Source organism: Homo sapiens, chromosome 4, assembly GCF_000001405.40.
Source record: "Homo sapiens chromosome 4, GRCh38.p14 Primary Assembly".
NCBI classification, from domain to species: domain Eukaryota; kingdom Metazoa; phylum Chordata; class Mammalia; order Primates; family Hominidae; genus Homo; species Homo sapiens.
Window position 1 is genome coordinate 25,899,419 of NC_000004.12, and position 14,724 is coordinate 25,914,142.

Genomic DNA, 14,724 nt, shown 5'->3' on the forward strand with positions numbered 1-14,724 from the left:
GCTACTGGTGGCCTCACTGAATTTTACCAACCTAACAACCCTAGGGGATAGAGATAGCCTTTTCTGATTGCAACCTCAGAAGAGATCCAAGGAAGATACTGATTTGCTTGACTTGGATCATGTGCCTATCTTGGAATCAGCCACTACGACCAAGAGCATAGGATAGGTGCATTGCCAGTTCTGGGTCATGTGAATAGGGAAGGGCAGAGTCAGGCTCCCGTGGAATGGGTTCCCTACAGAAAAAAAAGGGGTCTATTTCAGAAAGACATGCTGGAGAGGTTTAATAAGAAATGCCTCTGGCCCTTGAAATGGCCCACAGGACAGAAGATAAATGAGGCTTAAAAAACATCAGGTTTCTAGAAAAGTACTCAGTGTAATTTCTGCAAAAATAAAAACAGAAGCTATATCTTATAGACAAGAGCTTGCTGCTCCAATTTTTAAAAATGCCTCACTGCCTTTATGGTCCTTACACCTACATCAATTATTACAAGAGATGAGGAAGGCTGGCGGGAGTCACGTGGACTGAGAGGGCCTATCATTATGTCAGCTGATAACACTGGGATGTCCCTGCAAGGAAGACCGGAACATGGCCAAGTGAGGTAACTCTTTATGGATATACCTAGGTCCCACTATGTACAAGTGGGGTAAAGTGGGAGTGAAAGCGAGTTTAGGGGCAGGAATGCCAATGTGCAAGGGGCCCTTCCATTGAGAAGAACCCTGTTTAAATCCACTTAGGTTCATGTCACAGTAGTTTTTTCTTTTTTCGCTTGTTAGTTTTATACTCTGATTTTATGAAAAATACCCCACAACTCAGGTTTAATTTCCCTGGGGGAGATAGCTTTGAAATAACTATTAAACCTCTTTTTCCCTCTTTTTGCTACACTAAGCAAACTGGGAAATATTTTCCCTGAGGACAATAGCCCAGTCATTCATGCAGTAATCATTTTAATGCTATTTGTTTCTTCTTCCTTTTTTTAAAAAAAACTTTCCAACAGTGTTTGCATATAGCCCTCCCAATTTTATATTTCTACATTTTCTTTTTTATGAGTAAGACAGATGACATATTCATGTGTAGGATTCTGTGAGAAATTCAACTTAATTTCATGGCCAGGGGTAAATGTGAATGACTCATTGATGAAATTAGTAAGCCCTTTGCACAGCAATTGAAAATTTATCTATCTGGCACATTCATTTCATTGTCACACAACCACAAGAGGCATTATCCTCAATTTATAGATGAGGAAACTGAGTCTCAGAGAGATGAAATCTTGTTAAGGTGCCGCAAGTAGATTTGAACCCAAATAACCTGACCCAAACAAAAACAATCAACATTTCCTGTTTAAACCCCTTGCGTGCCGTGTGCTATTTAATCTCAAAAAAAATCTGTGAGCTAGGTTATGATTATCATCTTTATTTTACAGATAAAATTGAGGTTTTCAGGATTAAATAAATTGATGATTCAAACCCAGATCTGCCTTATTGCAAAGCTTTGTCCAAACACAGAACTTTTCCCGAAGCCTCAGTTAGCTCTGAAAACTCCAAATCTGGTGGAGGTAAGAAGTGAGGGCTGGATCCGAGGCCACAGAAAGGAGAGCAGGCAGATCGAGCCCCCTGCTTGGGCTGAGAAGCCTTCGCCTGCCAAGCCAGCTCTGTGGATGAACTATTTGCAGGCCATGTTCATTCAAAAGAGCTGAGGCAGCCTGGATGGAAGCCCAAATGCCAAGATAAAGGTGCCCGACTGACAAAATGCCAGTGTGAGCTGTTGCCTGCTGGCTTCACCCGCTGAAAACTTGGGGACCCCCATGTTCACAAAGGCACTGCAGACAGAAAGAAATGTCTGGTAAGCAGAGAGGTCTCCGCAAGCCCAATTATCCACTCTAGCCCATAATCGTGATTGTGGTGCATACCCAGCCCTACCACGTCGGGGGTGGCCCCATGCAGACATGGAGGCGCCAGCTGGTGCACCGCCAATTCTTCATCAGCAACGAAGGGCAGCCCTGACATCTCTCATCTGCCCCAAGCACCCTCCTTTAACCTCCTTTACATGACAAAATTTCCACTTACAAGTTAATCAAAACCCTGACCATGAATGAGAAAGAAAAAAAAATACTCCGTTAATTAAAAATCTCAAAAGATGCCAATGGTAACAGTCTGCAGATGCCTTCTTCCTCTGCTAATCCTACAGGAAAACCAGACATCAGTGATCAGTTTAAGAATCACAGGTGCTGTGATTAGGCCTGAGAGCATTTAGCTGTGACAAGTGGAATGAGAAAGATTTTTAATCTTCCTGAAATCCCAAGCTTTGAAAGTAATTAAATAATTAATGAGAAGCAGGGCTTCCCCTTCCTTCCCAAGAGAAGTTAAGTTCCCAAGTTTCTTCCCTGTGCAATACTGTCTCTTAAATGCATAGACGAAGTATCTCCAGTCATTCAACAAATATTTATTGAGCACCTACTCTGTGTCAAGTCCTCTGGAAGGTGGTGGACACACCGCAGGGAGGTTGACAAAGTTCCTGCACTTACCTTCTAGAATGAGGGACAACAATTAACATGTAAATGGGTAGTTTGAGGGTGTTGGAATAAAAAGCAAGATGCATACAGCGTGAAAAGGGGGAGGACCCCTTTAGACCATGTGGTCAGGTACAGCCCTATGAGGTAGTAGTACCACTTGAAGAGATACTTAAATGACAAGTGTCTTTGTCTTCTCTTGCTTATAACTGAATACCTGAAACTGGGAAATTTGTAAAGAAAAATACTTCTTATGGTTATGAAGGCTGAGAATTCCAAGGTCAAGGGGCTGCACCTAGGGTCTCTGCAGTTTCAAGGCAGCTCAGGGTATCGCGTGGCAAGGTTGCCGTGTGTGCTAGCTCAGCTGTCTTCCTTTTCTTGCAAGGCCACTAGTCCCACTCCCGTGATAACCCATTAACTCATGAATAGATTAATCCACGCATGATCCAATCACCTCTGAAAAGCCCCACCTCTCAATACTGCAACATTGGGGATTAGGTTTCAACATGAGTTTTGGAGAGGACAAATATTCAAGCCATAGCAACAAGTAAAGCCAGGCCAAGAGCACAGAGCATTTCAGGCAGAGGAAACTGTAAGTACAAAGTCCCATAGGCTAGATCAGACCGGATGTGCTCAAGAACAAGCATAATACTTGTGTGAGGTAGAAGAGGTCAGCAGGGACAAGTCCCCTAGAACCTTCTAGGACATAGTAAAATGTCTGGATGTTATTCTAAGCGATCGAAAAGGCTTCATTACTATTTTTTTCGTGTGTGTGTGTGTGTGTGTGTGTGTGTGTGTGTGTGTGACAAGGTCTTGTTCTGTCACCCAGGCTGGAGTGCAGTAGAGGAATCATAGCTCACACAGCAACCTTGATCTCCCAAGTTCAAGCGATCCTCCCACCCTCCCACCTCAGCTTCCAGAGTAGTTGTGGTGGCACAGGCATGCGCCGCCATGCTTGGCTAATTTTTTTTTTCTTTCTCTCTTTTTTTTTGGTAGCGATGGGGGTCTCAATTTGTTGCTCAGGCTGGTCTCAAACTTCTGGGCTCAAGCAATTCACCTGCTTCATTCTCCCAAAGTGCTGGGATTACAGGCATGAGCCACCAATCCCAGCCTGAAAAGCCTTTTATTGGGATGTCTTAACAAGGGATCATAAATCAGATTTCAATTTCTAAATGTTTGCCCTGGCTGCAATGTGGGTAATGTTTATGGGGGTGGGTGGTGGGCAAGGAAGAGGACAAAAATATTCAATAGGACCCATAGTCCATATAAAATAATGCTGCCTTTGATAAAGCCCCTGTGACATTTTTTATTGACCTTACACACATAAGCACACTCATGTGTCACTTAACAAGGATACATTCTGAGAAATGCATCCTTAGGTGATTTCACCATTTTCTGAGCATCAAAGTGTACTTACCCAACCTACATGGTATAGCCTACTACACACCTATGCTATATGGTGTGGCCTATTGCTCCTAGGCTCCAAACCTGTATAGCACGTGATTGAACTGAAAACTTTAGGCAATCATAACACAATGGGAAGTATTTGTGTACCTAAACATATCTAAATATTAAATAAAAAGGTATAGTAAAAATAGGGTAATCTTACGGGACCATCATCATATATGTGGTTCGTTGTTGACCGAAACATTATTACGTAGTACATGACTGTACCTGGTATTTTCAGAATGGATTTATATTAGACAGGGTTTTCCAGAGAGACAAAACATAGATGGATGGATGGATAGACAGAGATGAGAGGGGATTGATTAGGGGAATCAGCTCACACAATTTGGAAACTGAGAAGTCCCATGCCAGGCATTTGCAAGCTGGAGACCCAGGGCAGCTGGTAGTGTGGCTCAGTCCCAGCTGAAGGCCTCAGAATTAGGGAAGCCGATGGTGTTACTCTCAGTCCAAGACAGCAGGTCTGAGAACCCAGGGAAGCAACGGTTCAGATCCTGGAGTCCAAAAGCTGAAGAACTTGGGAATTCTGCTTCCAAAAGCAGGAGAAGAAGGGTGCCCCAGCTCCAGAAGAGAGAGAAAAAAATTGTCTCTCCTCTGCCTTTTTGTTCTATCTGGGCCATCAGCCAATTAGATGGTGCCACCCACACTGTGTGAGGGCAGATCTTCCTCACTCAGTCCACTGCTTCAAATGCCAATCTCCTCCAGAAACACGCTCACAGACACACCCAGAAATAATGCTTTACCAGCTATCTGTGTATCCCCTGATCCAGTCAAGTTGACACCTAAAATTAACCATCACAGGATTTCTCTATTGCTTGGCAGAGTTCCAACATTTCAGACTTTCTAATGTCTTAAAGTAGTACTTTTAATAAATGGATGTATCGTTTTACTCTTCTAGGAGCTAAGGACTGGCTCAATTGACTATAAAGAATCGAGAATGTCAGCTGACCAGGCAACCAGGAGACGCTTTCCTGACTTCCACTATGCACGTGGGCTGCATAATTGTGTCTGTGAAGTAATGAAGAACGTGCTTGCTCTGTAACATCCAAACGCGTGGCCACCATTCACAGATAGTGTCCTTTGGGAAAGGTGTGGGTATAGATGGGGAATGGTCAGTCCTATGAATATGGGGCTATAAGACAGCAAGGCTAGAAAGTATCTGTGCTTTCATTTTTTAATTTTATCTATTTTTTTTTTTTTTTTGCACTAATGGTTTGCATTCACATTGAGGAACTGAGACTGTTTTCAGACTTTTGGCCTACTGATGACCTTATGTTCATAAAAGGATAGAAGTATAATAAGTTGTTTAATATAAAACATACTGAAATTTTATTTTCTGTCTCCTTGGATATAAAGTTTCCACTTATCTTGGGTTTAAGTACCTACTCCTCCACAGAGAGGGACCTTGTGCATGTAGATTGATATTCTCAGGATGAAAGCAGTACCTACTACAACTAGGAACTCACAGAACAGGAAGACGATGCTTGTTCCTGATGGCATGTAAATCTAGATTCACTTCTAGCTGGAAGGAGGCAGGCCAGAAATTCAGAGTTGTAGGTCCTTGGCCTGGGTGGATGTGCTACAACATGAACCATAAACCTCCATCACTTATCTTGGCGGATAGAAAATTGGAACTTTGGAGGAAAGTTTCGCATCAAGCACTCAGACCCAATAAATACTCCCACTCCTTGCAGAGCTACCGAACATTCTGCACTCCATTTATCAGGCTACCCAAGGATGCTTGGAATGTGCTGGCCGGAGCCACCATCAGCACTTGCTGATGACTCTTTGTGGTACCGCCACTCACTTTCTGTACTGTGTTCTTTCTTCTTCCTTCTCTTTTGTTCTTCTGCCCAGCGACACACTTGTGCAGACTGACTTGGTGCCTTGGTGCCTGTTATGGACTGAATGCTCGTGTCCTCCCACATTCATATGTCAAAGCACAATCCCCAATGTGATGGTATTTGGAGATGGGGCCTCTGGGGGGTGATCAGGTTTAGCTGTTGTAAAGGTGAGCCCTCCGCGTCTGGATTAGTGCCCTTATAAAAAGAGACACAAGCGAGCTTTCTCATTCTCCTTCCACCATGTTAAGATACAATGAGAAGACGGCCATCTGGAAAACAGGAAGCAGGCCTTCACCTGCTGTAGGCAATCATAACACAATGAGAAGTATTGTGTTGGCACTATCTGGTCCAGGAGCAGCTGGACCTCCCAGAAAGACATGGGGTCAGCCTCCACCTGGATCCTGAACTTCCCAGCCTCCATAAGCATGAGAAATAAATGTCTGTTGCTTAAGCCATCCAGCCTATGGTAACTTTTTATAGCAGCCTGAAGCTACTAAGATGGTGCCAAGACTGTGAGATGGCACTAGAAGAGAGAGAATAAAAACACAGGCTCTTAAGTGGTTCAAATCCTGGCTCTGCCACTTGTCCATTATGTGGTTTTTGGGCAAAGCTGAATCTTTCTGTGCCTCAGTTCCCAATCTGGAAAATGAGACGTCTATTCTATCAGGGTAGGGATGAGATAAGATCATGTGTTCAATTAGATGGGATCAAACACATGGTAGAGGAACTTAATACATCTTTATTGTTATTATAGCTATGTCACTGAAAGAATTGGGTTAAATAAAATGCAATCTCTCGGCCGGGCGCAGTGGCTCACACCTGTAATCCCAGCACTTTGGGAGGCCAAGGTGGGTGGATCATGAGGTCAGGAGTTCGAGACCAGCCTGGCCAAGATGGTGAAACCCTGTCTCTACTAAAAATACGAAAATTAGCCGGGCGTGGCAGGCACCTGTAATCCCAGTTACCCGGGAGGCTGAGGCAGAAGAATCGCTTGAACCCGGGAGCGGAGGTTGCAGTGAGCCGAGATCGCTGCACTCTAGCCTGGGTGACACAGCAAAACTCTGTCTCAAAAAAAAAAAAAAAAAAAAAAATGCAATCTCTCACCAGAAGTTGAAAATCTAGCCTGTGAGATAAAGAGACACTTAATTGTAATACGTGGCGCTTGGCAAAAGGTGACAAATACTATTATATAATCAGTATATGGAAAAAACACCATGAAAGCTGCAGTAGATCAACTAGAACTGCAAATTCCTTATCACTGCTTTCATCAAGAGCTGGAGTCTAGTTCCCCTCCTCCTTGAAACAGTGACCTGTTGACAAACAGAATGAGGCTGAAACAACTCTGGGTGTCTTGTAAGGCAAAACCATGAGGAACCTTGCAGCTGCTTCCTGATTCTCATGCGGCACTCCCTCTTGGAACAGAGCTGCCATGCTGGGAGATGTTACCTATGGGGGCTCCAGTTGACAGCCCCAGTTGAGCATCCACTGTCGTAGGAGTGAACCATCCTGGACAGTCCAACCCAGTCAGCTCCCAGGTGACTTCGGCTGTTCCAGTGCCCAGCCACACCTTGTGATGCAGAATGCCCAGTCAACTCACAGAACTGCAAGAGATAGTACAATTGTTGTTTTCATCTTTAAGCACTAAGTTTTGGATAGTTAGTTATGCAGCCATAGATAAACCAAACAGGAGTTTAGGAGAGGAGAGTTCTTTCAAGTCAAGTGATCATGGAAGGGTTCCTAGAAGAAGTGGGATTTGAAAATATCCTTGGAAGGAAGGTCTGTGACAAGAGACTCACAGGAGAAGGTCATTCTAAAGAGAGGAATGAGTTGGAGCAGAACCCAGAGTGGGGTAAAGATAGGTTGCGGGCAGCACCTGGCAAATGGACCAGAGCTGCCTGTGCAGGGGGCTGGGAGAAATGGGCTAGAGCCAAGCTGAGATGGTTGCTCATTCCCAATCATGGCGGCTTTGGGGGCAGGCTCTTTTCATTGCCAGGAAGGAAAACTCATTTCTGCTCTTCCAGGTAAAGGGGCTTTATGGGAAACAATGGGATTTTTATGAGTTAAGGAGACAAGAATCTGTGGATAGAATAAAAACTAAATTGCAGCTGGACCTCCCAGAGAGACGCTGGAATTGGAAGTTGCTCAAGATCCCCCAGTGGCTTCCTATCACAGGCACAGCAAAATCCTAAGCCCTTCACATGGTCTGCGAGGCCCACAGCATGGTGCCCTTGCCCTGGCTACCTCAATGATCTGATTTCCTTTCACTGCCTCCTTCACTCACTCTGTTCCGGCCACACTGGATTCCTCGCTGATCTTTGAACAGCACCCTGGGCTCAGCACTTTTGCACTCATAAGTCTTGCCACCAGGATTGTTCTTCCAGATATTTACATGGCTCCCTCCTCTTCACTCAGGTCTCTGTGGTCTCCTCAAGAGTGACTGCTTTCTCCTGCCATAGTGCTCTTGCCTGCTCTATTTTTCTTCCCAGCATGGTATTATTGCCTTTTAAAAAAATCTGGCCGGGCATGGTGGCTCACAACTGTTATCCCAGCGCTTTGGGAGGCCAAGGGGGGCAGATCGCTTGAGCCCAGGAGTTCAAGACCAGCCTGGGCAACATGGCAAAAACCCATCTCTAAAAAAATACAAAAAATTAGCCAGGTGTGGTAGCGTGCACCTATGCTTCCAGCTCAGAGGCTGAGGTAGGAGGATGGTTTGAGCCCAGGAGCTGGAGATTGCAGTGAGCCATGATCACACCACTGCCTTCCAGCCTGGGTGACAGAGTGAGTGAGATCCTGTCTCTTTCTCTCTCTCTCTCTCTCTATCTATCTATCTATCTATCTATATATATATCCCGTCTCTACTAAAATACAAAAAATTATCTGGATGTGGTGGCTGATGCCTGTAGTCCCAGCTACTTGGGAGGCTGAGGAACAAGAATTGCTTGAGCCTGAGAGGCGGAGGTTGCAGTAAGCCAAGATCTCGCCACTGCGCTCTAGCCTGGGCAACAGAGTGAGACTCTGTTTCCAAAAAAAGAAAAAAAGAAAAATGATATATATAATTATCATTTGCCTCTCCAACTACAATACATGCTCCATGATAACAAAGATTTTGTATAATGCTTAGAAGAGTTCCTGGCATATAGTGGGTGCTCCACAAAAATGGTAGAAAATAGTGAATGAATAAATGAATCCCAGGCAATCGTAGGGCTTGAGGTATCTTGTTACTTCTCAGCAGGAGGAGTTTGTGGATCTTCATTTTAATTCTCCTCCAGTGTTCTCTGCTTCCTGTATTCCCAGGCAATTCCCACCCCATCTACTCGCTAAGAGCTTTCCTCTCACAGCTCCTGCTGACTCATAACCACGGCTTACTCACAGCTCCCCTCGAGCTGCTACTGTGTTTTTTTGTGCATCTGTCCACCGTCTGTTCCTTCTGCTGACCTCCTGATTCTCCCTGGTTTTCCAGTTGAAGTTCCAGAAACAGAGAATCTGATTAGGTCAGCCCATTCTCCATTTAGGCAGAGGTTTTGACCTTTAACTCTGGTCTGGGTCAGACATCCACATGGCTCCATCAGCTGTGACCACAGGCACAGAGCACAGCAACCTAGACACAGAGACCCATTGTTTCACTCAGCAGAGGCGCATGGATGCAGTGGGTGCCTTTAATGACCTGTTGACAATAGCTTGAGGCTCTGGTCAGGGCAGTGATGGACCAGATCTATGTCTTCAGAAGGTAATTTAAATCACCCTGTGTATTAGTCTGTTTTCACACTGCTGATAAAGACATACCCAAGACTGGGCAATTTACAAAAGAAGGAGGTTTAATGAACTTACAGTTCCACGTGGCTGGGGAGGCCTCACAACCGTGGCAGAAGGTGAGGGGCTTGTCTCACATGGCAGAAGACAAGAGAAGAGAGCTTGTGCAGGGAAACACCCCTTTATAAAACCATCAGATCTTGTGAGATTTACTCACTATCACGAGAACAGCACAGGAAAGACCCGTCCCCAATTACCTCCCACCAGGTCCCTCCCACAACATGTGGGAATTGTGGGAGCTACAACTCAAGATGAGATTTGGGTGGGGACACAGCCAAACCATATCACCCTGTGAATAAGACAGTTTACTGATGGAAGAGGACAGACAAGACCAGTTAGGAAGCCATAGGAAGGGAGAGCTGATGAGGACTCAAGTCAAGCCAAGGTCAACGACAGTGAGGAGGAGTAGGAGCAAGTGGGCCTTGAACCTGAAGCTGTCCACCAGGCAAGTGACGCTGGAGTTCAGCAGAGCAAATAGTCTGGAAGTCATAAAGACATGAGTTAAAATTACGGGGTGCAGAGCATAGCAAGAGATTAGCTGAGATGGACATTTTGGGGAAATCTCTTACATGGAAAGAGTCAAAGAAGAAAAACCTATATATACTTATACAGATGGGCAGAGACTCAGCAAGTCACAGAACCCCATAAAAACAGAGAAGCATTTTCCCCACTTACTCTCTTATTCTCAGCAGCACCAGCCCAGAGGTTCTGCATGAGATCCCACTCTGTTCCAAGCCCCAAGCTTCAAGTCTGTTTTTCTACAGCCAGTAACATTATTTCTTGGGAATCCACAACATTCTAAAAATACATTCGCTAGGCTGCAGTGCCACAATTAGTAAAGCTGCTGTCCCAGGAAACCCTCATCATCATTTTGCTTAGATCAGACAGCGGATTAACTTTGATGTCTGTCTGAACCCTGTGCGATACACCACTGGCAGTCTGCTCCCTGCAAGCATTCAATCTTCACATCCAAGGGAAGAGGGAGAAAGTGCCAGAGAGGAGCCCAACCCAATTCTTCCCCCCAGTGATTGAGATGAAAATATGCACCCTAGGACTGCCGACATATCTGACTTGCATCCTGTCTCCCTACATCCCTGGAGCTCTCTCTCCCTTTACACAAATACGTTCCCCCAAACTCAAACTTCCTTTGCCTTTCCCAAACATTAGCACAGTGATGAAGCCCCAAGTGCTTTCATCCATGCCATGTGTAGGAGGTAATTGTGTTAATTTCTGTATCTATTAGCACTCCTGGTGGCATGCCACTGAAACTGACTCTAACTTAAGTCCAAAGGGACTTTATTGGAAGCATATGGGGTGGCCTGCAGAATATAATGAACGCTCAAGAATCAGACTGCAAGGGGAAACAACCAGGGAAGCTCCAGGATTACAGGCAAGTGGGAGGTATACGATGATCACATCAGAACATTAGCAATGGAAGACAGCTACTCCAACAATGCTGTCCGTCTTTGCGTCACTGTCTTCATCGTCCTTATTTCTGGGAGAAAAAGAACAATTGGACCAAATGATCCAGCTGGATCATCCCCACACCCAGGCAACCAAGCTCCCTGACATCATAAAACATTGTAGATTGGTGGTTAAGAGCAGTATCTGGAACTAGCCAGGCTCGGTTTGAATCCTGGCTCCACCATTTACCAGCCATGTGATCAAGTCATTCTCAGTATGCCCCAGCTTCCCCCTCTGAACATGAGGATACCTATCCATAGGTATTGGTGAGCACAAAGTGAGCAAACCTGTGATACTGACTATAGAGGGCAAGTGTTCTACAAATCTTGATGTTAGCATTGATTAGGAATACACAAGGCCCCTGAAATTGCAGTCTATCCAAAAATGCCAAGATAAGAGGTCATTCTCCAAAAGACATCAGTTTTTATCAAGGCACAGTGGGTGGCCAAAAAACAATTACTATCCTCTACTACATCTTATCCCTCCACCAGACTGTGGACACCATGAGGACAATAGATTCTGCTGTTTTCCTCACCGCTGTGTTCACCAGCACCTGAAAAGCATCTGGCATATTGTGCCTGGCTCAATGAACCATTACTGAATTCACAAATATTGAATGATTCCTTCTGTGTTCCCAATCAACTAGTACAATGTTTTGCATGGGAGTAGGCACACAATAAGTATTTGCTGATTTAATTGATAGGTCAGAGGGAAAAGAAAAACTGGAGGAGTGTGGTTTTCTCAGAAATGGGGAAAACACGGGAATCAAAGAGATGAGCTTGCATTTGGCAGGACTCAGTGGCAAGTAAGTGATAGGTAACTGTTTTCTGGTGTGTTGATGTCAATTACCTATACAAATGATCTAGATGGCCTAATCATTTCTGCTGGTCAACTAACGCCTTTAGATCAGCATCAAGGAGACAAGAGAAACCACGAGTCACTTGGCACATCACCTTGGAGAGGGAGAGGCTCATCTGCCACAATGGACTTGTCCTTGCCTTAGAGGCACTCCCAGTACCTCATCACGATGCTCTGTTCTCCTGGCAACGCTCCTTACTGGCTTGCAGGTGCCCGTGAGCAGGGCTTGGCTGGCCATCCTGCCAAGCTTGCTCATGGAGACAGCAAGATCTCATGGAGGAGCATTTCAGATCAGACATCACAAGAGCTAAGACCTCGGCCAATGCTGTGTGACCTCAGGAGAGTTCTGGTCTCTGGCTGTCAGTGACCAGATCTATAAAATAGAGTAATCCTTGCCTTGCAGCTCAGTAATCCTTGCCTTGCAGCTCCAAGTGGAGTCACATCCTCAGAGATTTTATCTGGAACTCCTTCTGTTGTAAAAGACAGAACCCAACTCAAACTGGCTTCAGAGAAAGGGGGACTCTATTGCTCATGTTACTGAGCAGTCTAGGGGTAGAGCTCTTCTGAGATACAGCTGGCACAAATGCAACACTAGCATCTGATTTCTCCCCACCTCTCAGCCCTCCTTCTGCTGTACTGACTTCCTTTTCAGTTCCTAAATGATGGCCCCCAGTAGCTCGAGTCTCATTCGCTCAAGTTCAAATCCAACTTTCCAGTAGCTGGAATAGACTATGGTTGGCTCAGCTTGGGTCATGTGGCCAGGAGGATGCAACTACATTAGGTGTTCAGGACTGACTCCTAATCAATACTAACCTCAAGACTGAGTCCTGGGTGCCAACCAATCCCTGTGACGAGGAAGCTTGGTCAGGCCCTTATGCTTAACTTTCAGAGCTGGGAAGAAGTAGGATGAGGATGGGGAGTCCTAGGTTATCTCATGGACCAAGAGTGGGAAAAGAGTGGGTCCCAGAAAGATACTTGGGGTACTATTCACAGAAAAAAGGGAAGTGGCCACAGGGCTGATAAAACGACGATGCCCACTACACCTGGGTATTTTCTTTCTTTTTGTTTTTTGTTTCTTTTGAGACGGAGTCTCACTCTGTCACCCAGGCTGGAGTGCAGTGGAGCGATCTCAGCTCACTGCAAGCTCTGCCTCCCAGGTTCCAGCTATTCTCTTGCCTCAGCCTCCCAGGTAGCTGGGACTACAGGCGTGCACCACCACGCCCGGCTAATTTTTTTGTATTTTTAGTAGAGACGGGGTTTCACCATGCTGGCCAGTCTGGTCTCGAACTCCTGACCTCATGATCCACCCACCTCAGCCTCCCAAAGTGCTAGGATTACAGGCGTGAGCCACTGTCCACAGCCCTCACCTGGGTATTTTCTATCGTGTGATATAAAGCTGGTGTCACAGTTCCCTCTGTGCTATGAAGTCTTCTGTCCTCATCCTAACAAGCTCCTGTAAGTGCCCGAGGAGCAGCTGCCACACTGCAGTCATCTGTCTTCCTCCTCTGAATTTCTGTAGCCCGCAGGACCATAACACGTGTCGGCAGCACGCAATGTCGGTCATTAGTTATCTTTTTATGGATATGTTCTATCTCTTCATCTATGCGACAGGATCCTAGAGAGCAGGGGTCACATCTTATTCATCTTTGTGTCCCCTTAGCACTCTGCCTGGTGTTTGGGGCATGGCAGATAGTCCATGAATCTGGGGAGAGATTGAATAACTGATTTACATGCTTCTAGAGCCACAGAGGTAGACAGTAGCTTGATGCAACTACAAGATTACAAAGAAAGAGGAAACCTGTCCTCTCCAAGCTATTTTGAAACGCTTGTAGATCTGTTGTGGCCTAAATAATGCTGCTAGGGTCAAGACAGATATCCTCTTTGCTCCCCAGGCCCAGCTGCTGGCATGATTCCTATTTATAAAGGCATGGAGGCCCAAGGAATCTGTGTCTCAGCTGCCCAGTATCCCTGGGCAGGTCATAGTCAGGCACAGCCCACTTGTAAGGGCAGTGTGGTGCAGAGGGCGGAGGATGGCAACTTGAGGAGGAGGAAACAGGTATCTGTTCTCGGTGGCCCCCACCCAGACAATACGGAAGCGCCCCGTGGCCCCATGGATGGGACCGGATGCTGGCTCTCTGCCTTGGCCAAGGCATCCCAGCACAGGGAACAGGGAGAGAGGATGGGATGGAGGGAGAGAGGATGGGATGGAGAAAGAGAGTAGCTCGGATGCTGAAACAACGTTCCTCCTAGGCTAGTCTTGGTGCAGAAGCCCCGCAGCTCCGGTTTTAGAATCCCCCAGCAGGCCCTCTCGGGCCAGAGATTTGCCCCTTTGTCTCTGATACGTACAAACCTCCCTCAAGAAGGACGAGTGACTCGTCCAAAGCCGCGCAGCGGAGCCGCGGTTCCCTCTCCTGTAAACTAAGCAGACTGATAAAAGGATTAATTGCGCGAGCGACAGAGAGCATCTGGCGCACGGCGGACAGTCGCTAATTAAGAAATTAACGGGGGATGGACGAGAAAGCTGGCTGGTAAAGAAGGCGATGGTAAAGGAGGTCTGGAGGGTGCTGAGGGAGGAACCGGGCCGAAGGAAGGAAAGTAGACAGAACAGGGCCCGCGGGAATCGAGTGCAGCAAAACAGCTCCAACCTCAATCCAACGCCAGCGCCCGGCCCGCACAGCACGGAATCCCGGGGAAGGCGGAGGGCGGGGTCCGAGGCCCCGCCTGTGACCCCACCCCTTTCCTGGCCCCGCCCCCAGCCTTGAGGCCCCGCCTCTGAC

General features: G+C 46.3%; 2 long non-coding RNA genes across 5 annotated transcripts in view, besides 3 other annotated features; one reads left to right on the forward strand and one right to left on the reverse strand.

Annotated features, from left to right (window-relative positions):
* The window catches only part of LOC102723733 (uncharacterized), a 44,562-nt gene extending 38,292 nt beyond the window's left edge, over window positions 1-6,270 (forward strand). Inside the window, exon 2 of the long non-coding RNA XR_427503.5 lies at window positions 4,870-6,270. This is a non-coding gene — a long non-coding RNA (uncharacterized LOC102723733). The remainder of the gene's footprint in view (window positions 1-4,869) is intronic.
* LOC105374538 (uncharacterized) lies at window positions 1,392-14,675 on the reverse strand. Of its 4 annotated transcripts, none has more exons than XR_925502.3 (3): window positions 14,593-14,668; window positions 7,262-7,416; window positions 1,392-1,817 (listed from the first exon to the last, which is right to left on the reverse strand). It is a non-coding gene; the product is annotated as an uncharacterized LOC105374538 (long non-coding RNA). The 4 variants fall into 4 exon arrangements; XR_001741633.2 differs by lacking the exon at window positions 1,392-1,817 and adding an exon at window positions 13,315-13,649 and having other exon boundaries at window positions 4,186-7,416; window positions 14,593-14,675; XR_925500.3 differs by lacking the exon at window positions 1,392-1,817 and adding an exon at window positions 4,186-6,084.
* Window positions 14,089-14,638: an enhancer, noted in NCBI's record as "H3K27ac-H3K4me1 hESC enhancer chr4:25915129-25915678 (GRCh37/hg19 assembly coordinates)". NCBI's record gives its function as "activates a minimal SCP1, AML or CMV promoter by ChIP-STARR-seq in primed H9 embryonic stem cells {active_cell/tissue: H9 hESC(primed)}" and the evidence as "EXISTENCE:reporter gene assay evidence [ECO:0000049][PMID:30033119]".
* Window positions 14,089-14,707: a biological region, named in NCBI's record as "H3K27ac-H3K4me1 hESC enhancer GRCh37_chr4:25915129-25915678".
* Window positions 14,528-14,707: a silencer, noted in NCBI's record as "silent region_15328". NCBI's record gives its function as "represses an Ori minimal core promoter by ATAC-STARR-seq in GM12878 lymphoblastoid cells {active_cell/tissue: GM12878}" and the evidence as "EXISTENCE:reporter gene assay evidence [ECO:0000049][PMID:35858748]".